Source organism: Homo sapiens, chromosome 2 (assembly GCF_000001405.40).
Source record: "Homo sapiens chromosome 2, GRCh38.p14 Primary Assembly".
Classification (NCBI taxonomy): Eukaryota; Metazoa; Chordata; class Mammalia; order Primates; family Hominidae; genus Homo; species Homo sapiens.
This window is the reverse complement of record NC_000002.12, coordinates 182,857,540-182,882,875: the sequence shown is the minus strand read 5'-3', so window position 1 is coordinate 182,882,875 and position 25,336 is coordinate 182,857,540. Positions and strand designations below refer to the sequence as shown.

General features: G+C 40.2%; 1 protein-coding gene and 1 pseudogene across 1 annotated transcript in view, besides 1 other annotated feature; one reads left to right on the top strand and one right to left on the bottom strand.

Annotated features, from left to right (window-relative positions):
- RNU6-1122P (RNA, U6 small nuclear 1122, pseudogene) lies at window positions 8,929-9,035 on the bottom strand (annotated as a pseudogene).
- Window positions 16,108-17,076: an enhancer, noted in NCBI's record as "H3K4me1 hESC enhancer chr2:183730528-183731496 (GRCh37/hg19 assembly coordinates)". NCBI's record gives its function as "activates a minimal SCP1, AML or CMV promoter by ChIP-STARR-seq in naive H9 embryonic stem cells {active_cell/tissue: H9 hESC(naive)}" and the evidence as "EXISTENCE:reporter gene assay evidence [ECO:0000049][PMID:30033119]".
- FRZB (frizzled related protein) overlaps window positions 16,239-25,336 on the top strand; it is a 33,363-nt gene continuing 24,265 nt past the window's right edge. Inside the window, exons 1-2 of the mRNA NM_001463.4 lie at window positions 16,239-16,801; window positions 24,043-24,090. Of these exons, the coding sequence (NP_001454.2) occupies window positions 16,324-16,801; window positions 24,043-24,090 (526 nt within the window). The 5' untranslated portion in view covers window positions 16,239-16,323. The remainder of the gene's footprint in view (window positions 16,802-24,042; window positions 24,091-25,336) is intronic.

Here is a 25,336-nt window from a genome sequence, read left to right as displayed (position 1 = left end):
ATGTCTGCATTCACCTTTCGAGACTTATAATTAGGAAATTCTCTAGCTACTAAATTAACTATTGAGTTACTAAGGATGTTAGCATTGAGTGGATCCCATTTTTCTGGCCTGAGTTACATTATAATAATTCAGTTCCTTGTGATGGAAGAATGGACAGAAAGATTGAAAGAGTATTAGCCAGAGGTAAAGTTATTACCCAGTGATGGGAAGAGTGAGATAGATAGCTGAGAGCCACCTTGAGGATAAGGGCCTCAATTAGAAAATATCTTGGAGGAAAAATTGCACAGGATGGTTAATGTTGTTGGGTTAGCAAGAGGAGCAGCAGGTCAGGATTCCCAGGTGGGGCCAATCTGTTGATTAGTGATATAGTGGTACTAAAGCTGTTCCCAGGGAAGGTTCTCTGAGCACTAGGAGGATCCATCTTAAGATGTAGGTCCTTTACATTGGCTAATTTATTTTGAAATGTCTTACTTTACCCCTAAAAATCTTTCAATAGGCACTTCTGACATTCTGATTAGCATTTATTCTTCAAGACTGAAGACAAAAGTTTAGATTTAAAAAAATGCATTGGATTTAATACTTTATGTGGTTGCCAAGTTTGCAGGTTAGTTTTATCATTATTTATATATCAATGAAAGAGACTGATTTGCCTTCCAGATTAAACGTAAGATGTATGACTCACATTTTTTTTTTTTGTCTCTCATAGGCACTGACTTTTTGTTATTATATTATGGTAGCTTTCATTTCCTTTACTCTTTTTTTTTTATTATACTTTAAGTTTTAGGGTACATGTGCACATTGTGCAGGTTAGTTACATATGTATACATGTGCCATGCTGGTGCGCTGCACCCACTAACTCGTCATTTAGCATTAGGTATATCTCCCAATGCTATCCCTCCCCCCTCCCCCAACCCCACAACAGTCCCCAGAGTATGATATTCCCCTTCCTGTGTCCATGTGATCTCATTGTTCAATTCCCACCTATGAGGGAGAATATGCGGTGTTTGGTTTTTTGTTCTTGCGATAGTTTACTGAGAATGATGATTTCCAATTTCATCCATGTCCCTACAAAGGACATGAACTCATCATTTTTTATGGCTGCATAGTATTCCATGGTGTATATGTGCCATATTTTCTTAATCCAGGTATGACTCACATTTAACAAATCATAGATGAATGAGGGTTAACCTGGTTATTGCTTTTTTTTTTTTTTTTTGAGATGGAGGCTTGGTCTGTTGCCCAGGCTGGAGTGCAGTGGTGCCGTCTCAGCTCACTGCAACCTCTGCCTCCTGGGTTCAAGTGATTCTCCTGCCTCAGTCTCCCAAGAAGCTGGGATTACAGGTGCATGCCACTACGCCCCGCTAAATTTTGTATTTTTATGCGGATGGGGCTTCACCACGTTAGCCAGGCTGGTCTTGAACTCCTGACCTCAAGTAATCTGCCTGCCTAATGCCAAAGTGCTGGGATTACAGGCGTAAGCCACCATGCCCAGCCCTTTTGATTGTTCTGTTGGATTTATTGTCTTGTGAGGGATCATTTTAAGGCTAGTTTCTAATTAGGCCTCGGTCACAATGAGTTGTTTAGGTGTCTACATTATAACTGCAGCATAAAACTCATGTTGGAATGACCTGTATGCTACTTGGTTGCTCCTTTGTTACCATAAGGAGAAATAAGCAATAAAATAAGGCTTTAAAAGATACGATAATACAAAAGATGTGGCAAAACATGTAGGTCTATTCTAGAGTAAGATGATAGAAAGGGTGTTTTAGAAATTATCTGTAATTATATCTTGTCAAAGGGAGATTAGACAGAAATTCAGAATCATCGGGGTTTCAACTGACATGGGGAGAGCCTACAGTGTGGGTTCTTGGATGTGCCCCACACTTCCCCTTCCAGACCCTGAAAACCTTTTGGACTGCTTGAAAAGTCTATAATAATAGACTTAAAATAATCTTAAAAGATTATTTTAAGGTATTACATAAACTGAATACCATTATGTTAATTATCAGATATATTTCTATAGGCATTTTCTGTTTCCAGGTGTATAAGAAAAACACACACTACCAATAGAGAAGGAGAATTGTGTAAATAGATCAAACTAGCAAACACACTTAACTACTGTATTAGTTCATTTTCACATTGCTATGAAGAAATTCCCAAAGCTGGGTAATTTTTGTTTTTATTTTCTTTTTCTTTTTTTTGTTTTATATGGACTTCATTATTTTTTAGTAAAGAATTAAATAAAATGTAAGTTTTTTTATTATACTTTAAGTTCTGGGATACATGTGCAGAACGTGCAGGTTTGTTACATACATATACATGTGTCATGGTGGTTTGCTGCACCCATCAACCCGTCATCTACATTAGGTATTTCTCCTAATGCTATCCTTCCCCTAGCCCTCCACCCCGCTCAAAAGTCCCCAGGGTGTGATGTTCCCCTCCCTGTGTCCATGTGTTCTCATTGTTCAACTCCCACTTATGAGTGAGAACATGTGGTGTTTGGTTTTCTGTTCCTGTGTTAGTTTGCTGAGAATAATGGTTTCCAGCTTCATCTATGTTCCTGCAAAGGATATGAAGTCATCCTTTTTTATGGCTGCATAGTATTCCATGGTGTGTATGTGCCACATTTTCTTTATCCAGTCTATCATTGATTGGCATTTGGGTTGGTTCCAAGTCTTTGTTATTGTGAATAGTGTTGCAATAAGCATGCATGTGCTTGTGTCTTCATAGTAGAATGATTTATAATCCTTTGGGTATATACCCAATAATGGGACTGCTGGGTCATATGGTATTTCTGGTTCTAGATCCTTGAGGAATTGCCACACTGTCTTCAACAATGGTTGAACTAATTTACACTCCCACCAACAGTGTAAAAGCATTCCTATTTCTCCACATCCTCTCCAGCATCTGTTGTTTCCTGACTTTTTAATAATCGCCATTCTAACTGGCGTGAGATACTACCTCATTGTGATTTTGAGTTGCATTTCTATAATGACTAGTGATGATGAGCTTTTCTTCATATGTTTGCTGGCCACATAAATGTCTTCTTTTGAGAAGTGTCTGTTCATATCCTTCGCCCACTTTTTGATGGAGTTTTTTTTTCTTGTAAATTTGTTTAAGTTCCTTGTAGATTCTGGATATTAGCTCTTTGTCAGATGGATAGATTGGAAAAATTTTCTCCCATTCTGTAGGTTGCTTGTTCGCTCTGATAGTTTCTTTTGCTCTGCAGAAGTTCTTTAGTTTAATCAGATCCCATTTGTCAATTTTGGCTTCTGTTGCCATTGCTTTTCGTGTTTTAGTCATGAAGTCTTTGCCCATGCCTATGTCCTGAATGGTAATGCCTAGGTTTTCTTCTAGGGTTTTTATGGTTTTAGGTCTTAGGTTTAAGTCTTTAATCCATCTTGAGTTAATTTTTGTGTAAGGTGTAAGGAAGGGGTCCAGTTCCAGTTTTCTGCATGTAGCTAGCCAGTTTTCCCAACATCATTTATTAAATAGGGAATCCTTTCCCCATTGCTTGTTTTTGTCAGGTTTGTCAAAGATCAGACGGTTGTAGATGTGTGGCGTTATTTCTGAGGCCTCTTTTCTGTTCCATTGGTCTATATATCTGTTTTGGTACCAGTACCATGCTGTTTTGGTTACTGGAGCCTTATAGTGTAGTTTGAAGTCAGGTAGCATGATGCCTCCAGCTTTGTTCTTTTTGCTTAGGGTTATCTTGGCTATATGGGCTCTTTTTTGGTTCCATATGAAATTTAAAGTAGTTTTTCTAATTCTGTGAAGAAAGTCAGTGGTAGCTTGATGGGGATAGCACTGAATCTATAAATTCGTTTGGGCAGTATGGCCATTTTCATGATATTGATTCTTCCTATCCATGAGCATGGAATGTTTTTCCATTTGTTTGTGTCCTCTCTTACTTCCTTGAGCAGTGGTTTGTAGTTCTCCTTGAAGAGGTCCTTCACATCCCTTGTAAGTTGTATTCCTAGGTATTTTATTCTCTTTGTAGCAATTGTGAACGGGAGTTCACTCATGATTTGGCTCTCTGTTTGTCTATTATTGGTGTATAGGAATGTTTGTTATTTTGGCACATTGATTTTGTATCCTGAGATTTTGCTGAAGTTGCTTATAGCTTAAGGAGTTTTTGGGCTGAGACGATGGCGTTTTCTAAATATACAATCATGTCATCTGCAAACAGAGACAATTTCACTACCTCTCTTCCTATTTGAATACTCTTTATTTCTTTCTCTTGCCTGATTGCCTTGGCCACAACTTCCAATACTATGTTGAATAGGAGTGGTGAGAGAGGGCATCCTTGTCTTGTGCCAGTTTTCAAAGGGAATGCTTCCAGCTTTTGCTCATTCAGTATGATATCATAAATAGCTCTTATTATTTTGAGATACGTTCCATCAATACCTAGTTTATTGAGAGTGTTTAGCATGAAGGGGTGTTGAATTTTATCGAAGGCCTTTTCTGCATCTATTGAGATAATCATCTTTTTTTTGTCATTGGTTCTGTTTATGTGATGGATTACATTTATTGATTTGTGTATGTTGAACCAGCCTTGCATCCCAGGGATGAATCTGACTTGATCGTGGTGGATAAGCTTTTTGATGTGCTGCTGGATTCTGTTTGCCAGTATTTTATTGAGGATTTTTGCATCGATGTTCATCAGGCATATTGGCCTTAAATTTTCTTTTTTTGGTTGTGTCCCTGCCAGGTTTTGGTATCAGGATGATGCTGGCCTCATAAAATGAGCTAGGGAGGAGTCCCTCTTTTTCTGTTGTTTGGAATAGTTTCAGAAGGAATGGTACCAGCTCCTCTTTGTACCGCTGATAGAATTCGGCTGGGAATCCGTCTGGTCCTGGGCTTTTTTTGGTTGGTAGGCTATTAATTACTGCCTCAATTTCAGAACTTGTTATTGGTCTTTTCAGGGATTCTAATTCTTCCTGGTTTAGTCTTGGGAGGGTGTATGTATCCAGAAATTTATCCATTTCTTCTAGATTTTCTAGTTTATTTGCATAGAGGTGTATATAGTATTCTCTGATGGTAGTTTGCATTTCTGTTCGATCAGTGGTGATATCCCTTTTATCATTTTTTATTGTGTCTATTCGATTCTTCTCTCTTTTCTTCTTTATTAGTCTGGCTAGTGGTCTATCTGTTTTGTTAATCTTTTCAAAAAACCAGCTCCTGAATTGACTAATTTTTTGAAGGTTTTTTTTGTGTCTCTCTCTCCTTCAGTTTTTCTCTGATCTTAGTTATTTCTTGTCTTCTACTAGCTTTCGAATTTGTTTGCTCTTGCTTCTCTAGTTCTTTCCATTGTGATGTTACGATGTCGATTTTAGATCTTTCCCACTTTCTCCTGTGGGCATTTAGTGCTATATATTTCCCTCTAAACACTGCTTTAGCCGTGTCCCAGAAATTCAGGTACCTTGTGTCTTTGCTCTCATTGGTTTCAAAGAACTTCTTTATTTCTGCCTTCATTTCGTTATTTACCCAGTAGTCATTCGGGAGCAGGTTGTTCAGTTTCCATGTAGTTGTGTGGTTTTGAGTGAGTTTCTTAATCCTGAGTTCTAATTTGGTTGCACTGTGCTCTGAGAGACTGTTTGTTATGATTTCTGTTCTTTTGCATTTGCTGAGGAGTGGTTTGCTTCCAATTATGTTGTCAATTTTAGAATAAGTGTAGTGTGGTTCTGAGAAGAATGTATATTCTGTTGATTTGGGGTGGAGAGTTCTGTAGATGTCTATTAGGTCCATTTGGTCCAGAGCTGAGTTCAAGTCCTGAATAGCCCTGTTAATTTTCTGTCTCATTTATCTGTCTAATATTGACAGTGGGGTGTTAAAGTCTCCCACTATTATTGTGTGGGAGTCCAAGTCTCTTTGTAGGTCTGCAAGAACTTGCTTTATGAATCTGGGTGCACCTGTATTGGGTGCATATATATTTAGGATAGTTAGCTCTTCTGGTTGCACTGATTCCTTTACCATTATGCAATGCCCTTATTTGTCTTTTCTGATCTTGGTTTAAAGTCTGTTTTATCAGAGACTAGGATTGCAACCTCAGCTTTTTTCTTTTCTTTTTTTTTTGGCTTTCCATTTGCTTGGTAAATATTCCTCTATCCCTTTATTTTGAGCCTATGTGTGTCTTTGCATGTGAGATGGGTCTTCTGAATACAGTACACCGATAGGTCTTGATACTTTATCCAATTTGCCAGTCTGTGTCTTTTAATTGGGGGATTTAGCCAATTTACATTTAAAGTTTATATTGTTATGTTTGAATTTGATCCTGTCCTTATGATACTAGCTGGTTATTTTGCTCATTAGTTGATCCAGCTTCTTCATAGTGTTGATGATCTTTACAATTTGTTATGTTTTTGCAGTGACTGGTACTAGTTTTTCCTTTCCATGTTTAATGCTTCCTTCAGGAGCTCTTGTAAGGCAGGCTGGGTGGTGACAAAGTCTCTGAGCATTTGCTTGTCTGTAAAGGATTTTATTTCTCCTTCACTTATGAAGCTTAGTTTGGCTGGATATGAAATTCTAGGTTGAAAATTCTTTCCTTTAAGAATGTTGGCTATTGGCCCCCACTCTCTTCTGGCTTGTAGGGTTTCTGCAGAGAGATCCACTGTTAGTCAGATAGGCTTCCCTTTGTGTTTAACCCGACCTTTCTCTCTGGCTGCCCTTAATATTTTTTCGTTCATTTCCATCTTGGTGAATCTGACAATTATGGGTCTTGGAGTTGCTCTTTGCAAGGAGTTTCTTTGTGGTATTCTCTATATTTCCTGAATTTGAATGTTGGCCTGTCTTGCTAGGTTGGGGAAGTTCTCCTGGAAAATATCCTGAAGAGTGATTTCCAACTTGGTTGCATCCTCCCCGTCACTTTCAGGTACACCAATCAAACGTAGGTTTGGTCTTTTCACATAGTCCCATATTTCTTGAAGGTTTTGTTTGCTCCTTTTCATTCTTTTTTCTCTAGTCTCGTCTTCATGCTTTACTTAATTAATTTGATCTTCAATCTCTGATATCCTTTCTTCTGCTTGATCGATTTGGCTATTGATACTTGTGTACGCTTCATGAAGTTCTCCTGCTGTGTTTTTCAGCTCCATCAGGTCATTTATTTTCTTCTCTAAACTGGTTATTCTAGTTAGCAATTCCTCTAACCTTTTTTCGAGGTTTTTAGCTTCCTTGCATTGGGTTAGAACATGCTCCTTTAGCTTGGAGGAGTTTTTTTTTTTTTTATACTTTAAGTTTTAGGGTACATGTGCACAACGTGCAGGTTTGTTACATATGTATACATGTGCCATGTTGGTGTGCTGCACCCATTAACTCGTCATTTAGCATTGGGTATGTCTCCTAATGCTATCCCTCCCCCCTCCCCCCACCCCACAACAGTCCCCGGTGTGTGATGTTCCCCTTCCTGTGTCCATGTGTTCTCTTGTTCAATTCCCACCTATGAGTGAGAACATGCAGTGTTTAGTTTTTTTTCCTTGCCATAGTTTGCTGAGAATGATGGTTTCCAGCTTCATCCATGTCCCTACAAAGGACATGAGCTCATCATTTTTTATGGCTGCATAGTATTCCATGGTGTATATGTGCCACATTTTCTTAATCCAGTCTATCATTGTTGGACATTTGGGTTGGTTCCAAGTCTTTGCTATTGTGAATAGTGCCACAATAAACATATGTGTGCATGTGTCTTTATAGCAGCATGATTTATAATCCTTTGGGTATATACCCAGTAATGGGATGGCTGGGTCAAATGGTATTTCTAGTTCTAGATCCCTGAGGAATCACCACACCGACTTCCACAATGGTTGAACTAGTCTACAGTCCCACCAACAGTGTAAAAGTGTTCCTATATCTCCACATCCTCTCTAGCACCTGTTGTTTCCTGACTTTTTAATGATTGCCATTCTAACTGGTGTGAGATGGTATCTCATTGTGGTTTTGATTTGCATTTCTCTGATGGCCAGTGATCATGAGCATTTTTTCATGTGTTTTTTGGCTGCATAAATGTCTTCTTTTGAGAAGTGTCTGTTCATATACTTCACCCACTTTTTGATGGGGTTGTTTGTTTTTTTCTTGTAAATTTGTTTGAGTTCATTGTAGATTCTGGATATTAGCCCTTTGTCAGATAAGTAGGTTGCGAAAATTTTCTCCCATTTTGTAGGTTGCCTGTTCACTCTGATGGTAGTTTCTTTTGCTGTGCAGAAGCTCTTCAGTTTAATTAGATCCCATTTGTCAATTTTGGCTTTTATTGCCATTGCTTTTGGTGTTTTAGACATGAAGTCCTTGCCCATGCCTATGTCCTGAATGGTATTGCCTAGGTTTTCTTCTAGGATTTTTATGGTTTTAGGTTTAATGTTTAAGTCTTTAATCCATCTTGAATTAATTTTTGTATAAGGTGTAAGGAAGGGATCCAGTTTCAGCTTTCTACATATGGCTAGCCAGTTTTCCCAGCACCATTTATTAAATAGGGAATCCTTTCCCCATTGCTTGTTTTTGTCAAGTTTGTCAAAGATCAGATAGTTGTAGATATGCGGCATTATTTCTGAGGGCTCCGTTCTGTTCCATTGGTGTATATCTCTGTTTTGGTACCAGTACCATGCTGTTTTGGTTACTGTAGTCTTGTAGTATAGTTTGAAGTCCGGTAGCATGATGCCTTGGAGGAGTTTTTTTATTACCCACCTTCTGAAGCCTACTTCTGTTAATTCATCAAACTCAGTCTGCGTCCCGTTTTTTTCTTCCCTTGCTAGCGAGGAGTTGTGATCCTTTGGAGAAGAAGAGGCATTCTGGTGTTTGGAATTTTCAGCCTTTTTGCGCTGTTTTTTTCTCATCTTTACAGATTTATCTACCTTTGGTCTTTGATGCTGGTGACCTTCAGATGGGGTTTTTGTGTGGACATCCTTTTTGTTGATGTTGATGCTATTCCTTTCTGTTCATAAAAATATGGAAGGCTTCTCAAATTTGCATGTCATCCTTGCCCAGGGGCCATGCTAATCTTCTCTGTATTGTTCCAATTTTAGTATATGTGCTGGTGAAGTGAGCACAAAGCTGGGTAATTTTTTTTTTTTTTTTGAGATGGAGTTTCACTCTTGTTGCCCAGGCTGGAGTGCAATGGCACAATCTCGGCTCACCGCAACCTCTGCCTCCCGGGTTCAAGTGATTCTCTTGCCTCAGCCCTACTGAGTAGCTGGGATTACAGGCATGCACCACCATGCCCTGCTAACTTTTGTATTTTTAGTAGAGACAGATTTTTTCCATGTTGGTTAGGCTGGTCTTGAACTCCCAACCTCAGGTGATCTGCCCACCTCAGCCTCCCAAAGTGCTGGGATTACAGGCATGAGCCACCACGCCTGGCCAGACTAAGTTTTACATAGCACATATCACGTAGAAAGTTGCCTAAAATGCCTCTTGACATTTCTCCCTCGTCCCAAAATGTCACACTTATGGCATTGTTAGGTTTACTTCATGAGTCTTTTAAGGACCTTGTTGGTTATGTTGGGCCTATTTGGATAATCTAGGATAATCCTATTTTTAATTAGTCACCAAAATTTTATTTAATCTCACGTCAGATTAGCTATGGTACCATTGAGTGGTCTCTAGTTATGGTGGGGACAATATTTATGTTTCAGTCAAAATAATAAATGCAGATAGTTTTAGAAAATTAAATAGAATTTACTGTAATCCCAGCACTTGACTCAGTTCTGCATTGCTGGGGAGGCCTCAGAAAACTTACAATCTTGGCGGAAAGCAAAGGAGAAGCAGGCACCTTCTTCACAGGGCGGCAGGATGGAATGAGCGCAAGCAGGGGAAATGCCATCAGATCTCACGAGACTCACTCACTATCATGAGAACAGCATGGGGGAAACTGCCCCCATGATCCAATTACCTCCACCTGGTCCTGCCCTTGACACATAGGGGTTATGGGGATTACAATTCATGGTGAGATTTGCTGGGGACAGAGGGGACACAGTCAAACCATATGAGTTGCCGTGTCACACCAGGCCCCTATTGACTTCAGTAAGGGTGATACCATGTTCAAGAAGCTGAAGAAGGGACCCAGAGCCAGCAAATGAGACATGGAGTTTACTGAGGGAACTTACATACAGGGTAGTCCAGTGGCAGTAGGTTGGACAGCAGAACCACTACCATTTGTAGAAATCACGCTGTTTATACAGAATTTTCACTTGGCACCCTCTCCTTAGGAACCCCTACCTAACAAACTTCATTTAACCCAAAACAAACAGCCTCAATCCCCTGTATGGCCTGCATTCCATGGGATGGGCTGGGGGTTCATATGTTCCTCATAAATAATGAATTAATCTCTGGATTGGTCACTTTTGAATTCCTTACCTCGCAGCTCTGAACACACATTGTTTTTAGACCATAGGGTCATTCTCAGGGTATGCTTAAGTTGAGTTATTGCTGCTGGTAGGTACATCTGCCATACGTGCCATTAACTTCATGATTTTGGGTAAGTGATTTTATCTCAAGTCTTCTTTTCAAATTAAGGTATGGAGGGGAGGGCTAGAAGGTTGCAGAGGTGAAAGAGGTGGGTGGATTAGATTGTTGAGGTTCATTCCACCACTAAGATATTAAGATTCCCTCTGGAACTTCTTTGAAGCTGGATCTATCGTTCTTCTTCTACAACAGAGGTAGAGTGACGCTGTGACCCTTAGGACAGTACATAAAGGTCAGAGGGCCAGCTGATTGTAAGGCTGAGTCTCATTGGGGCTATTATTATGATCTTTGAGTGGTAGAGTTATCTAGACAAACTTTAGAGAGTCATTTAGCTATTAGGTTGCTTTATTACAATTTTGTTTCCAATTTTCCTATGAGAAAAGATAAAAGGAGATAAAATCATGAAATCTTTATAGCATGAAAAGCATTTACTTGGGGTAAATCAGAGCTTAATATCTAGTTCAAAAGAGTGATTTTAAGTGTTGTTCTTCGACAGCAGTATTAGGATCACCTGATAACTTATTTGAAATGCAAATTCTCAGACCTACCTTATCAGAAATTCTGGATGAAGCCCAGCAACCTGTGTTTTCAGGAGCCTTCCAGGGGATTCCGCTGCATGATTCAGTTTGAGAATCATTGCCCTAATGTTGCTGCATTGAACAGTTGGGAAGCTTTTATTGGTTTGCGTGGAGATGGGAAAGGGTAAGATCTTCTTCCTAAGGCAGAACTCAAGGAATTACTAGGTCTGCAGAATACCTCAGGGAGAGGCTATGAGCAAGGAGGTCTCCCCATCTGAAATCCAAAGCTTCTCATTGGGCTTGACATCTTGACATCTTTTTATTCTTTTTTTCTTTTTGAGACGGGTGTCCCTCTGTCACCCAGGCTGGAGTGCAGTGGCTCGATCTCTGCTCACTACAACCTCCGCCTCTCAGGTTCAAGCAATTCTCTTGCCTCAGCCTCCTAAGTAGCTGGGATTACAGGCATGCGCCACCACGCCTGGCTAATTTTTTTTTTTTTTTTTTTTTTTTTTTTTTTTTTTTTAGTAGAGACGGGGTTTCAGCGTGTTGGTCAGGCTGGTCTCAAACTCCTGACCTCGTGATCCACCCGCCTTGCCCTCCCAAAGTGATGTGATTACAGGCGTGAGCCAGCACACCCGGCCGACATCTTTCCATTCTTAAGAAGATAGAGCCAATATCTGACAGTTGGTGTGGTCAGGGTGCAGGCTGAGACCCAAGCTCACAGAGATCCCTGATATTTCCCTTTCCCTGGCTCTTTTCTGCCTATGAAACAGATGATTGGAATTGTTAAAAGAGCATGGATTCGAATCCCACTCTGCCAGGCCCTTATTTATCTGTGAGAACTTTGGGAAACTTCATCTTATGGAGCCTTATTTTCTTCATCTTTGGAACTAATACCTTGAGCAGTTTATGTGCTTAAAAAGTGGTTTACATACCTCACATAAAGTACTCGCAAGTACTCAATAAACACTAATTCCTTGCTCCTTGATACCCTGATAGTACAGAATGGGCCTGGCCACAGCCATTCTGACTCACTGGTGTTCAACTGTACCAGTTTTTAACTATTTTACATATCAGCTCTGCTTGTGAAAATGTAAGAATATTTTCTTATTTTTTGCAAACACATTTTCTTATAGGAAAGATGTGGGCAGACTTATTAACACAAACCTAGGATAGGTTTACAGTTTATTTAAACAGATGAAAAAATAATGTGAATATTCAAATTACTGACAAAATAAGACATTGCAAAATTGGGGCAGGGAGGGGGAAATTGGCCAAATTTGAATTTTGGTAATATGGCTATATCAAAGTAATATACTCTAGCATGATCTTTTTCTTGACATTGCCACAGGAACACCTACCTGTCAGGAAGTTAAACCAAATGTCAATGATCATGGTATCATTACTCATCCTAAGAAGCTTGACTGGCCATCACTGGGTCTGGGTGCACTTCCTAAGCAGTGGTTGAGCCTGGAATTAACCCATAGTCCCAACTAGGTGCTAGGGGGCGCTATGCTGCAGCTCTCAGACAGCCAGGTGTCCTCTGGCTATCATAACCAATGCATATCATAACCTGGATATGCATTGTGTGGAGCCCTTTGAAGTCCTTGAATCTGGTGTCCATAGATTTTTTGTTTCCAGCAGAGTATTAGTATATTAATAATTTGGTGGGGGCTCACACCTGTAAGTGGGCAGATCATTTGAGACAAGGTGGGCAGATCATTTGAGCCCAGGAGTTTGAGACCAGCCTGGGAAATATGGCAAAACTTGGCTGGGCTCAGTGGCTCACACCTGTAATTCCAGCACTTTGAGAGGCCAAGGTGGTTGGATCACCTGAGTGAGGTCAGGGGTTCGAGACCAGCCTGGCCAACATAGTGAGCCCTGTCTCTACTAAAAATACAAAAATTAGCTGGGCAGGGTGGTGCGTGCCTATAGTCTCAGCTACTCGGGAGGCTGAGGCAGCAGAATCACTTGAACCTGGGAGGTGGAGGTTGCAGTGAGCTGAGATCACATCGCTGCACTCCAGGCTGGAGACAGAGCAAGATTCCGTCTCAGCAAAACAAAAACAATAGATGTTGGTGTGGATGTGGTGAAAGGGAATGCTTATACACTGCTGGTGGAAATGTAAATTAGTACAACCTTTATGAAAAACAGTGTGAAGATTTCTCAAAGAACGAAACTGGACCTACAGTTTGATACAGCAATCCCATTACTGGGTATCTACCCAAGTGAAAAGACATCAATTTGTCAGAAGGACAACTGCATGCATATGTTTATTGCAACACAATTCACAATTGCAAAGATATAGAACCAAACTAAGTGCCCATCAACCAAAAATATGGAACTAAACTAAGTGTCCATGTCCATCAAATGATGAGTGGATAAAGAAAATGTGGTATATATACACCACGGAATACTACCCAGCCAGAAGAAAGAATGAAATAATGTATTTTGCAGCAGTTTGGGTGGAGCTGGAGGCCATTATACTAGGTGATTTAACTCAGGAATGGAAAATGAAATACTGTATGTTCTCACTTATAAATGAGAGCAAAGCTATGGGTACAAGAAGGCATATCTTTGAGAGGTATAACAGACTTTGGAGACTCACAAGTGGGGAGCTTGTGAGTCTACTAGGGAGGCTGAGGCAGGAGAATCTCTTGAACCCGGGAGGTGGAGGTTGCAGTGAGCCAAGATAGTGCCACTGCACTCCAGCCTGGGCAACAAGAGCAAAACTCCATCTCAAAATAAATAAATAAATAAATAAAGGAATAATTTGTAAAAACAAACACTGTTCAAGGGTAACTAACCAGAAAAATGAACACAACTAGACAAGGTACTCAAAAGGGCTTCCTCAAGACAGTGACATTTATTTTGGGCTTTTATAAAAACAAATTTGGATTAAAGTTGTAAGGGGACCTATTAGACAAAGAAGATAGCTGACTTTTGTGCAGGGGAAGGAAAACAGACTTTGTTTCAAATAGTTGTAGAACCTTTAAAACTATTGGCACATTTCTTCTCACACTGTAAGACTTAAGATGAACAGAAAAATGTATTTAGCAAACAATCTACTACATCTACTCCTGATGTTTTTTCTTCTAATTATTGAAAATCTCAGCTATATTTTTCTTATACAAAATAGTCCCAAAATGTTCTAATGTTGACTGTCTTTTAAAGTTGTTTTTCCTCTAAATTTTACTTGATAAATCATTTTAAATTCGTTTGTACAATTTTTGAATTTGTTCTCTTACATGACACTAGATAATTGTAGACCAGGCAAAGTTTGTATACTAACTGACTCCCTGTCTACCATCTGGTGTTCCCCGCCCCCGCCACCATAAGTGGAACAAACTTCCTTCCAAAAAAATTTACAGCAGTCACAAACTGCTGTTTATGATCATTTTAGATATAAAATTCCATAACTCAAGTTAGCATTGACATTTTATAAGTGCTGTCAAGTCACTCTAGGGAATGAAAATGAGCATCTCACTATGTGCTCTGAAGTGGGGACATATTTCTCTGCTTGTTATGGACGGTGAGAGATGGCTAAATTGAAGCAGAGAAATATTTCAGTGATGCAGAGCAAAGGTGACTTCCTGTTTTGTTTCAGGTTTTGTTTCCTTCTCCTCTCAATGAAGGCTGTGTTTTCTGACATTCGGCAATCCTTTTGCTCAGTGATTTCCCATTGAGAGGGCATAGTGTGAAGGCCTCTGCAGGTCATTCCATTTACAATATAAGCTGAAAGGGTAGAGTGGGGCGGGGGTGGGGGGAAGAGGGAGCTCATTAGTGGAAGAAGCAGACCAGGAGGGGATCTGTTTTCCATTTTCTCCTCCAGATTGAACTCATCTGGATGGAAAGGTTTTGATTGTTGTTATAATCATCATTATTACCTGCGTGATGTCGTTTTCCTACACTTTTTTTTTAAGTGTCGGGCAGAATTGTTGCTGAGAATAACAAATAATATCTGCCATGTTATCCGTGAGCAAAATCAGAAAAAAAAAGTCCAAGTGTATTAGAGCTGTTAGTTTCCACGTTAACCCTTAAGGAGCAAAGCTCAAGAGTTCTAATTCCACTAGGTGGGGGGGGCGGGAATAGAAGGAAAAAACCCCTTTTCCTTGCTTCTGGTGGCCTATTTGTAGTCATGAACAGCATTTCTTTGTTTCTCTCTCTCTTTTTTTTTTTTTTTAAAGGCAATCCTCCCCCCACCTCCTCCCCCGCAGTTATTGAAAATGGAGACCTCTGTAGTCACTAGCTCTGGGTTGATATGGCTCCACCGTTGCTCGCAGGGGTCTGTGTTTTCCGCTACTTGGACAAAGTGACATTGCTTAAGCCTTTCCCCCCACCAGGTCTGACTTTCTGCAGAGCCAGTGATTGCAGAGGAAAAGCTGTAGTTTGCTTAAAGGAAATACCTCCAGGAAGGAGGGTCTCGGGTGGGTTCCCAAGTGGGGAACTAGGGGGACTTTTCCGTAGGGAATTGGGGTGGGCTCTTCAGTGAGGGGCTAGGGGCTCGTTTCTGGGGCCAAAGACGGGTTCCCTAGTGTGAGGGCGCGCTCGACTCGGCGCTGTCTTGGGGTCTCGCACTCGCACGGCTTCGCACCCCACCGCCTGCGACTCCCAGGCCTTCTCTTCCCCGGGCGCCCACTCCATTCTCGGGAAGAGCAGCCGGCACTGGAGGGCAGAGACTGCCCCAGGGGCGGAGCTCCCTCTCAGGCGGGAGGTAGGAAAGTGCAGAGCCGCCCGGGCAGAGGCACAGACGTCCCTGCGGGGCTCCTCCTGAGCGTCCCTCCTGCCAGCCAGGGTCGCAGCCGCAGCGGCGGCCGCAGCTCTTAGCCCACACAGGACTTGTAAACTCTTACTGCACCCTTCTCTCCCATTAGGAGCTTTTCCTCCCTCCTTCCCCCCAACCCCTCTGTCCTCCTCACTTTGGGGAATTTAATGCTTTCTTTAGCATCTTTTTGTGTGCGTGATCTAGGGGAGGAGACACCCCAGAGCTCCAACTAGCTCTCAGCTGAATTCTACTTTTGTTTTTATGTCTTCCTCGCCTCCTCTCGTGTCCCTCTTATCTGACTGATCTGCGAAGTCTGATGCTTCTGCCAGAGGGAGAGGAATAAATAGATGTTGCTGCTTCCGAAGGCTTAGACGTTGGGAAAGAGCAGCCTGGGCGGCAGGGGCGGTGGCTGGAGCTCGGTAAAGCTCGTGGGACCCCATTGGGGGAATTTGATCCAAGGAAGCGGTGATTGCCGGGGGAGGAGAAGCTCCCAGATCCTTGTGTCCACTTGCAGCGGGGGAGGCGGAGACGGCGGAGCGGGCCTTTTGGCGTCCACTGCGCGGCTGCACCCTGCCCCATCCTGCCGGGATCATGGTCTGCGGCAGCCCGGGAGGGATGCTGCTGCTGCGGGCCGGGCTGCTTGCCCTGGCTGCTCTCTGCCTGCTCCGGGTGCCCGGGGCTCGGGCTGCAGCCTGTGAGCCCGTCCGCATCCCCCTGTGCAAGTCCCTGCCCTGGAACATGACTAAGATGCCCAACCACCTGCACCACAGCACTCAGGCCAACGCCATCCTGGCCATCGAGCAGTTCGAAGGTCTGCTGGGCACCCACTGCAGCCCCGATCTGCTCTTCTTCCTCTGTGCCATGTACGCGCCCATCTGCACCATTGACTTCCAGCACGAGCCCATCAAGCCCTGTAAGTCTGTGTGCGAGCGGGCCCGGCAGGGCTGTGAGCCCATACTCATCAAGTACCGCCACTCGTGGCCGGAGAACCTGGCCTGCGAGGAGCTGCCAGTGTACGACAGGGGCGTGTGCATCTCTCCCGAGGCCATCGTTACTGCGGACGGAGCTGGTGAGTTTTGACACGGCCCACCCTTCCCTTACCCTACAGCCTCCTCAATTCTTGGAGTCCTTGTTACTAGCCTTTACTCTCTAATTTTTTTCTCTTCGGATCACTTAATCTCTCCCATAACTGCTCCTCTATCAAAGACCCTTCTTCTTCTTTCTTCTTTTTTCAAAAACAAAAACAAAAAAACCCTCACCTTATCACCTTCCAAACTGATGCACTCTGGCACTGTGTTCCAATAGGCGATCTTTCTAAAACAATCCATGCATTCCAAACCCATCACACTTCTACTCCACAGGAATCCTTCACTTCAACTCCTTACATGTGCAAGTAGCCACATTTTGTAAAGTGATGCTCTTTTTCTTTTAAAATGTGTTTATAATCATTGGGTTTTCTTTGCTGATTCTCAGGCAATCTCAGTCATCAGGTTTCTGTATCTTTAGTGTCTTAGATGCTTGTTAAGATTGTGTGGAGGAAACAGAAAACTGAAGCCCCATTTTCTTCTAATTAAAAATGCCAAGATAATTTCAATAACCTTACTCTAACCGACAGATGTTAGGGGTATGTGTTTGCTCAAGATCCAGTTTGAGCAATTACCTTCACCTTAAATTTCCCCCTCCTTTCAATGAGATAAATTGTTCTTCCATTCCAGAATGAAACAATTGTGAAACATTGCTATGCACTGTTAATTAGCTTCTGTGGCTTGCCATAGAGCTGGCAGACTGAAATTACTGAGCTCTTTTCACATGCCCACATGCCTTCAAGTCATTTTATAAGTGGCATACAGATGAAAGGAGTTATATTTAAGGCGTGTTATCATACACTCACGTAATGTTATTTTAAATCTCACCCCTTATTCCACTCTCATGTTTTGAAAAAAAAATTGTCTTTAATACCTTATTTCATGCTCCTTTTCCGTGTGTGCACCAACCACAGTCATTTCAGTCTTTCCCTACCATAAAACTTTATTGCAGCTCTAAATTTAATGGAGTCAATCACAAGTTGTTTTCTCACTAGTGTTTAGTCTAATTATGACATTTGTAACTTTAAGACCCCAACTAAACCTACTTCATTATGGTCCATTTAATTCTAACTCAGTATTACTTCTACCAACTAACCCAACCTCAAATTTTACCCTTCATATATTTTATAAAGAAGGCAATTTTTTTTCATGAGTGGTCCTCTTTCATACCACATCCCCCACCCCCCAACAACTCTGTTCTTAGATGTGTTGACTTGGTTGCCTCCATCTGTTTATTTCTTGGGCATCAACTTTCCTTCCTCTTTCAACTTGCGCAGTCTAGGCGCATGTCCCCAGTCCATTTCCAGGTAGTAATTCTTAGTTATCGGGAAATTGATTTGGAAAAATTACCTTCTGTGCACGTTGACTCATTTAACAAAGTGAGAGAAGGAGAAGTAATTGTAAAAATAGCTGAAGGAAAAAAAATAAACAGAAGAATTTCAAGAACTTTTTAATGGTGACCTCACTTAGTTTATCACTTTTTGAATATACCTATTGTCTTCTTGATTTTAATCAAGAACCAAAAGCTAGTTGTGCAAAATCATCACAGAAATGTATTTGCTATTAATCTTTGCTAAAAGAGCATGCTTGAGGCTTCGTACTCACTAAAGTCACAGACTGCAGAGTCTGGAAGTGCTCAGTGCAGTTGCCGCTCTGGTTTGCCAGGCACTTAGAATCAGTTAAATGCAGGTGCTCCTCTCAGGCCAAGGGCTAGGAATGAGGTGGCAGTGGTTCAGGCTGAAATGCATTCCTCCCCGTAAAGCACAAAACTTGCTCTTAAACCTCCCTTAGAGGTGGACCTAGAGTGAGTGAGGTTTGGCAAGGTTAATGGCTCTCAAAAAGCCATAGTCAATATGGATAGGAAGCAGTTTCATTAAGTGTCCCTGAGTTACCAATCACTGTGGAACAAACATGGAAACAGTTGCCTCATTGAAGCACTCAAATAGGACATGCATGGAAACAATTTGTCAGTTCATGGGACCTGATTTCTAAGCTTCTTTAAAATGCCAGAGTATTTGCTTTACTGGCAGCATCCTTGCTAGAAAAATAGGTGGTAGTTGGAATCATAGTTAGTGATGGCATCCCTGCTCCCTTCCATAAGCTTCAGTGTGAACCAGAGGCTATGATGGCAAGGGGAGCTCAAAGGTGGGGGGAGGTGGAAATTGGGAATGAAGTGTGTAGATTGTAGCCTGAAGGGTCTCCTGGCTTCCAGGGCCAGCTTGTTGAAAATTACATTCCCTATGCTGGGTCAAACTGTCAGACACCTGGAATTACTTAGGAACTACCACATGTGGCCAGTGTAATTTACCATGCAATATCCAATATACTCTTTGGTTCAGTGGGAAGTGATAGTTCACAAAGCAAGGTTTTTTTCTTATTCAACTGGGTATAAACAGAATCCCTGTGTCTTTTGACTAGTATCTGTCCAACTAGATATAAAAATGAGGTCTCCCTGAATAAAATAGGACAATCTTTCACATTCTTCTGATGCCAAGAGGATTTTCAAATCCTACCCATTCATGGGGATCTGTTCTCTCATAGTATATCATGACTCCACAAACAAGCTTAGGACCTTTTACAAAGCAGTCTTACTGAAATGGAGTAATGCTTGAAACTACTTTTTGCTTTCAAAATACTAAGGGTAATCATATTTTTGAAAAGAACGGGTTCCATCCTGACCATTATTATTCATCTTACACATTTTATATTTGCATAACTTTGTGTGACTACATGTACAACTGATTATCTGAAAACTCAGCTCAATTGAGTCATTCAGCAAGTTAGTGATGACATTCAGTCAAATCTTTAATATTGTGTGGTGAGTAAAGAGGATAGGCTTGGAGTGGGGCAGACCAGGTGTGAATGACTCTGCCCCGACATCAACTATTGTTATAGGAAAATTATATGACCTCTGTAATTCAAAGTTTTCTTATCTGTAAAATTAGGACAAAACTATCTACATCCCAAGGGCATGGTAAAGATGAAATTAAAGCTGGTGCAGTGGCTCACTCCTGTAATCTCAGCACTTTGGAAGGCCGAGGCGGGTGGATCACTTGAGGTCAGGAGTTGGAGACCAGCTTGGCCAACATGGTGAAACCCTGTCTCTACTAAAAATACAAAAATTAGCCTGGGATGGTGGTGCGTGCCTGTCGTCCCAGCTACTCCAGGAAACTGAGGCAAGGGACTCACTTGAACTCCGGAGGTGGAGGTTGCAGTGACCTGAGATGGCGCCACTGCACTCCAGACTGAGCGACAGAGCCAGACTGTGTTTCAAAAAAAAAAAAAGAAAAGAAAAGAAAAGAAATTAAACAGCATATAAAGCATTGCTTTAGTACTTAGTAAGCACTGAAAAAAGTGCTGCTGCTGTTTTACTATTATCACTGTTAAAACAAATTGACTAACATTTTCTATTTTGTTTTTGAAATGGTTATGTTGGTAAATGCAGATGCAGCCTAGAACTTTTATTAGTTCATCTCTGGGGAAAAACAAAACAAAAAAGCTTTACACTGGGACCTAACTGGAAAAACAAATCTTATTTCTTCTAAATATATAAAGTTAGTATTTCCTTTTACACAAATTGACCTAGACCTCAGGCTCAAGAGCAGATCCCCTTGGGAGCGACAGAAAAAAGAATGAGTCTGGTGGAGGAGTTAATTACAAATAATTCATCTCAGAAACCCAGGAATCAAGCAGTTAAGAAAATTTATGGTATGATATTTCACAGCTATTTCCACAACACCTACAGTTTGCCGTGCCAAGGGCTTTATAATCATTCCTCAGTCAGTGCTGGCTTCTGGGGCAGTGTTAACTTTTCTCCCCAGCTCTTGCTCAACACGTTTCTGCAGGCCTTCTCTCTCTTGGCATGAGCCGTGCCAACTTTCATATGCAGGAGCTGCCATTTAATCGTTTCTCCACTCTCAGAGAAACAGGCAGTCTTTTCTTTAGCCCTGTTCTACAAATATTTGAGGGGCCAAGTACCAAGAAGGAAGAATTATTTAGTGTGATATGAGGAGGAAAATGGAAAGGAGAAATGGAAATTTTAGATTAGAATTAAAGGGAAAACATGCTTCTGAGGATCCTTCATTGTGTAAAATACTGAAAGGCACTCTGGATGGGTTAGGGAAGAGTATCTCAGTGTTATGTTAGTAGTATTTAACTTTATTTAGAGCAACCCCCATTATCAGGAGTAATGTAATCTTATGTAGTCTCCAAATCTTAATAATTTACTTTTTATCTCATTCCCACTAAACCTTCAAATAGTTGTTGCTACAAATTGCAAAACTGACTAGGTTATATTTAGCTCTTCTAGTTCTACTTGGTGTCTAGAATGAGGAGACCAACAGCCAACAAATAGAGATAGTTTTGAATAATTAAGAATTGGCTACATCTCCTCAATTTAGAGAAAACCACAGTTTTAGAGTTACAGGCCCTTAGTTGGAATTCTAGATTTGCCATTAATTTTGTACACTGAACTAGTCGCTTGACATTGACATTCATTAGGGATTGTGAAGAACAAAAGAAATAGTAATATGAAGTTACTGATAAACGGTAAAGCACAATATAAATGTTTAACAACAACGTCATTGGGGAGAGGACGTGTCATCCTCAGGACAGGAACCATTAGCAACACAATAAAAGCAACCAACACTTATGTTCTAGGTGCTGTCCTGAGTGCATTTTGCACATTCATTATTATTCCCATTTTGGAGAAAAGGAAGCCAAGGCATATAGAGAAGCTAAGTTACTGTCCAAGTTAGCAGAGCTAGTAAGAAAAAGAGAATTCGAAGCAGAGCCTGTTCTACACTACACTTTGTCCCTTAAGAAATGTAATTCCTAACTTTCTAGAGAATCTGTTATTCTTTGCCTAGCAGATTGCAGTTAAAGGAACAAAGGTTTTCTCATTGTATTTTGAAGTACACTTATCTATGGCTTAAGAGAATAAAAGGTGGCTTCTAGACAATGGATTCAAAGAGATAAGAGATTCTGACTTCACTGCAATTTTGAGATAGTAGAGATTATACATTCCAGATTCTCATGTCCCTAGTCTCTCGGTCTCAGCATGCCCCAGCGTGAACTCATCATTTCCCCATAGTCATGCACTTGTTTCTTTCTAGTATTTTCTATATTGTTGAAAGGTACCACCATACCTTAGTAGTCCAGGCCTGGGAGGCAGTCTTTTTTTTTTTTTTTTTTTGAGACAGTCTCGCTCTGTCACTCAGACTGGAGTGCAGTGGCGTGATCTCTGCTCACTGCAACCTCTGCCTCCAAGGTTCAAGCAATTCTCCTGTCTCAGCCTCCTGAGTAGCTGGGACTACAGGTGCATGCCACCACGCCCAGCTAATTTTTGTATTTCTGTTAGAGATGGGTTTTCGCCATGTTGGCCAGGCTGGTCTCGAACTCCTGACCTCAGATGATCTGCCTGCCTTGGCCTCGCAGTGCTGAGATTACAGGTGTGAGTCACCATACCTGGCTGTGGGAAGCAGTCTTGATTCTACCTTTTTCCTCATTCCCCTCACTCAATAGGTATCACATGCTGTTTGGTCTACTCTGACTCAAATTCCCTTCTCTCCCTCTCTAATGCTACTTTCTTAGTTTGGACCTTACCATTTCTCACCAGGATTATGGCCATAGGATGATAATGGTCTCTCTTATCTCCAGTATTTCCCCTCCATATTCCAATAGACATTTTTTCTGAAATGCAAATCTTTTGCTTAAAATCCTTACTAATAATATATATTTTCATTTAGGGTAATTTGTTGTTAGAATTCCTAAGTTTAACTTTCTGACAATAATTTTTTGATCAATTATTAGAAAATTTTTGTTTTCTGTCTTACAGTTCTAACAATTGACTTCTAAGCATTTGTAAAAGCGTAGAAACATTTTCCTTTGAATAAGAATGGAAGAAGTAAAACACTCTCCTTGGCTTAGCTATTTTGAAGTGATTCCCTTTCACCAAGCAAAGTTTTATTTTTCACTCTTATTTCTACCTTTGAACAATAAACATTTCAAATATGGGCCAATATAATTTCTTCCTTTATGAAGACATTATTTTTGTATGTAGTTTATCACATGATTATTCAGAAATAGAAAAACCACTGGCACGTTACTGTAATACTTGGGTACATTTATCATGAATAAATGTTTGAATATAATGAAAGTATTAGTAATTAATAGTTTATGCCCAAGTTGAGCCAAATGTTTTAGAATTAGTGTTTGTTACTTGCTTATCTGTTTGTTTGCTGACTGCTGTCTTTTCTTGGATATTGCTTTTTAAATACTTGCTGATGATTACTAAACCTGGGAAAGTAATTCATTAATTGTAATTGTGGGTGTTATAGTCCTAAAATAGTATTAACCCCTTGTTTAATTTATTCCTGATAGGACCTATAAACAAAAAGGACAAAGGAAGAATACTATTTTCTCCTAGAATAAATAGAGGCATTAAATTAGTTTAGCATAAAGTGTTACTACAAATGTAAAACTCTTATATAAAGTACTAAATTGGAGTGTCAATAAGGATATATTGCTAGGTACAGCATCTCTCAGCACGGTGTTCCGCTGGTGCACTGTTATTCATTAGAGGCTGCTTTCTTAATTAGAACACAGAAAACCTTTATCATTACTATTTTCTGGGATTATGGCATCCTAAAAAGAATCAATAGCAATTTCTAATTATTGTCACATCTATTAATTGCACTGGCTTGAATAGTCCCTGAATAGTAGGTTTCTTTTCTGTTGAAGAATTATTTAGCCTGCAGTTAAAGGACATGAGAATGATTTCTGAGTGTTCGTTTAGGAACTAAGGATTTAAATATATACCAGTTCAGTGTGATATGTCCATTTATTGAAGATGCGTTTGGTTTTTTTTTTGTCATCAAGTCATAAGTGTTGGATGAGTGCCTAATATTTGCATAGGCTTTATCATGATAGGATGCTTATCATTTACAAATTTTGTGAAATTCAAATAAATTATTAAATTCTAAAATTTTATGCACAGTTGAGTATTCAGAAGAGTATTTCCTTATAACCACATGAAAAAATAAGTCTCATCCATACTCAACCCATGAATGATAAGAATGCCGACCTCATGACGTTAATAAAAATCTACTTCCTTCAGACAATTGGATTCTTACCCAAATCAAACTTGTGACTGAGTTAGATTTTTATCTTTAGGAATTCTTGAAATAGATATGTTATAGTTCTTTTTTCTGTCACCTCCTTTCAGATTTTCCTATGGATTCTAGTAACGGAAACTGTAGAGGGGCAAGCAGTGGTGAGTATATCATTATCTTCCTGGTTTTCATTTGTGGTCAGATTAGTCATTGATGTAATTTAGATACTTAAGTCATTCATGGGGAAGCTTGTGCCCTACATTTTACAAGTAAACTTTTTAAAATTCCCTCATTTATATTAATTTTATTTTTAAAATTAGCACGTAGTAAAATTGGACTTTTATTTGGACATATAGTTTGGTACAGATGAATTTTAATATTATGTAGAGATTTATGTAACCACCACCACATCAGGATACAGAACAATTCCATCACCTCCCAAAACTCCTTCAAGCTGTATCCCTTTATAATTACAAGTTTTCCCTATCTTCATCCACTGGCAATCACTCATCTTTTCTTTATCACTATAGTTTTCTCTATTTGAGGTTCGATTGTCCATATAGACAGACTGACAGTACGCCTTTGAGACTTAACCAATTGCTGCATATATCAATGGTGCATTCCTTTTTATTACAGAATATTTTATTACTTGGATGTATGACCATTTGTTCACCCATTCACTCCTTCAAGGAAGTTTGGGTTGTCTCCAGTTTGGAGCAATCGCGAATAGAGCTACTATAAACATTCCAGTACAGGTTTTTGTGGGAATGTAAGTTTTTATTTCTCTAGGCTAAATAAGTAGGAATAGGATCACTGGGTTATATGGTAAGTATATGTTTAGCTTTGTAAAAAAGTGCCAAACTGTTTCCAAGATGGCTGTTCAATTTTGTGCTAGTAATGTATAAGAGTTCCAGTTGTTCTATATCTTTGCGAGCCCTTGGTATTATCAATATATTTTATTGTTAGCCATTTTAATAGGTATGTGATAATAGCTCATCATGGTTTTAAATTGCATTTCCCTAATGGCTAATGATGCTGAATACATTTTCATGTGTTTATTTGCTATCCACATATATGCTTTTTGGTAAAATGTTCAATAATTTTGCCCATTTTAAGTTGGGTTGTTTTCTTAATGAGTTCTGAGGGTTCTTTACATATTCTGGATACAAAAAACATCTTTTGGTTTTATTCATTTTCTCTATTGTTTCACTGTTTTCAATTTTATTGATTATTTCCTTCTGCTTGCTTGCTTTAGAGGTTTATTTTGCTTTTTCTTTTGTTTCTTAGAGTAGAAGCTTATATTGTGTTTTGAGACTTTTTTTTTTTTTTTGAGATGGAGTCTTGCTCTGTTGCCCAGGCTGGAGTGCCGTGATGCAATCTCAGCTCACCACAACCTCCACTTCCTGG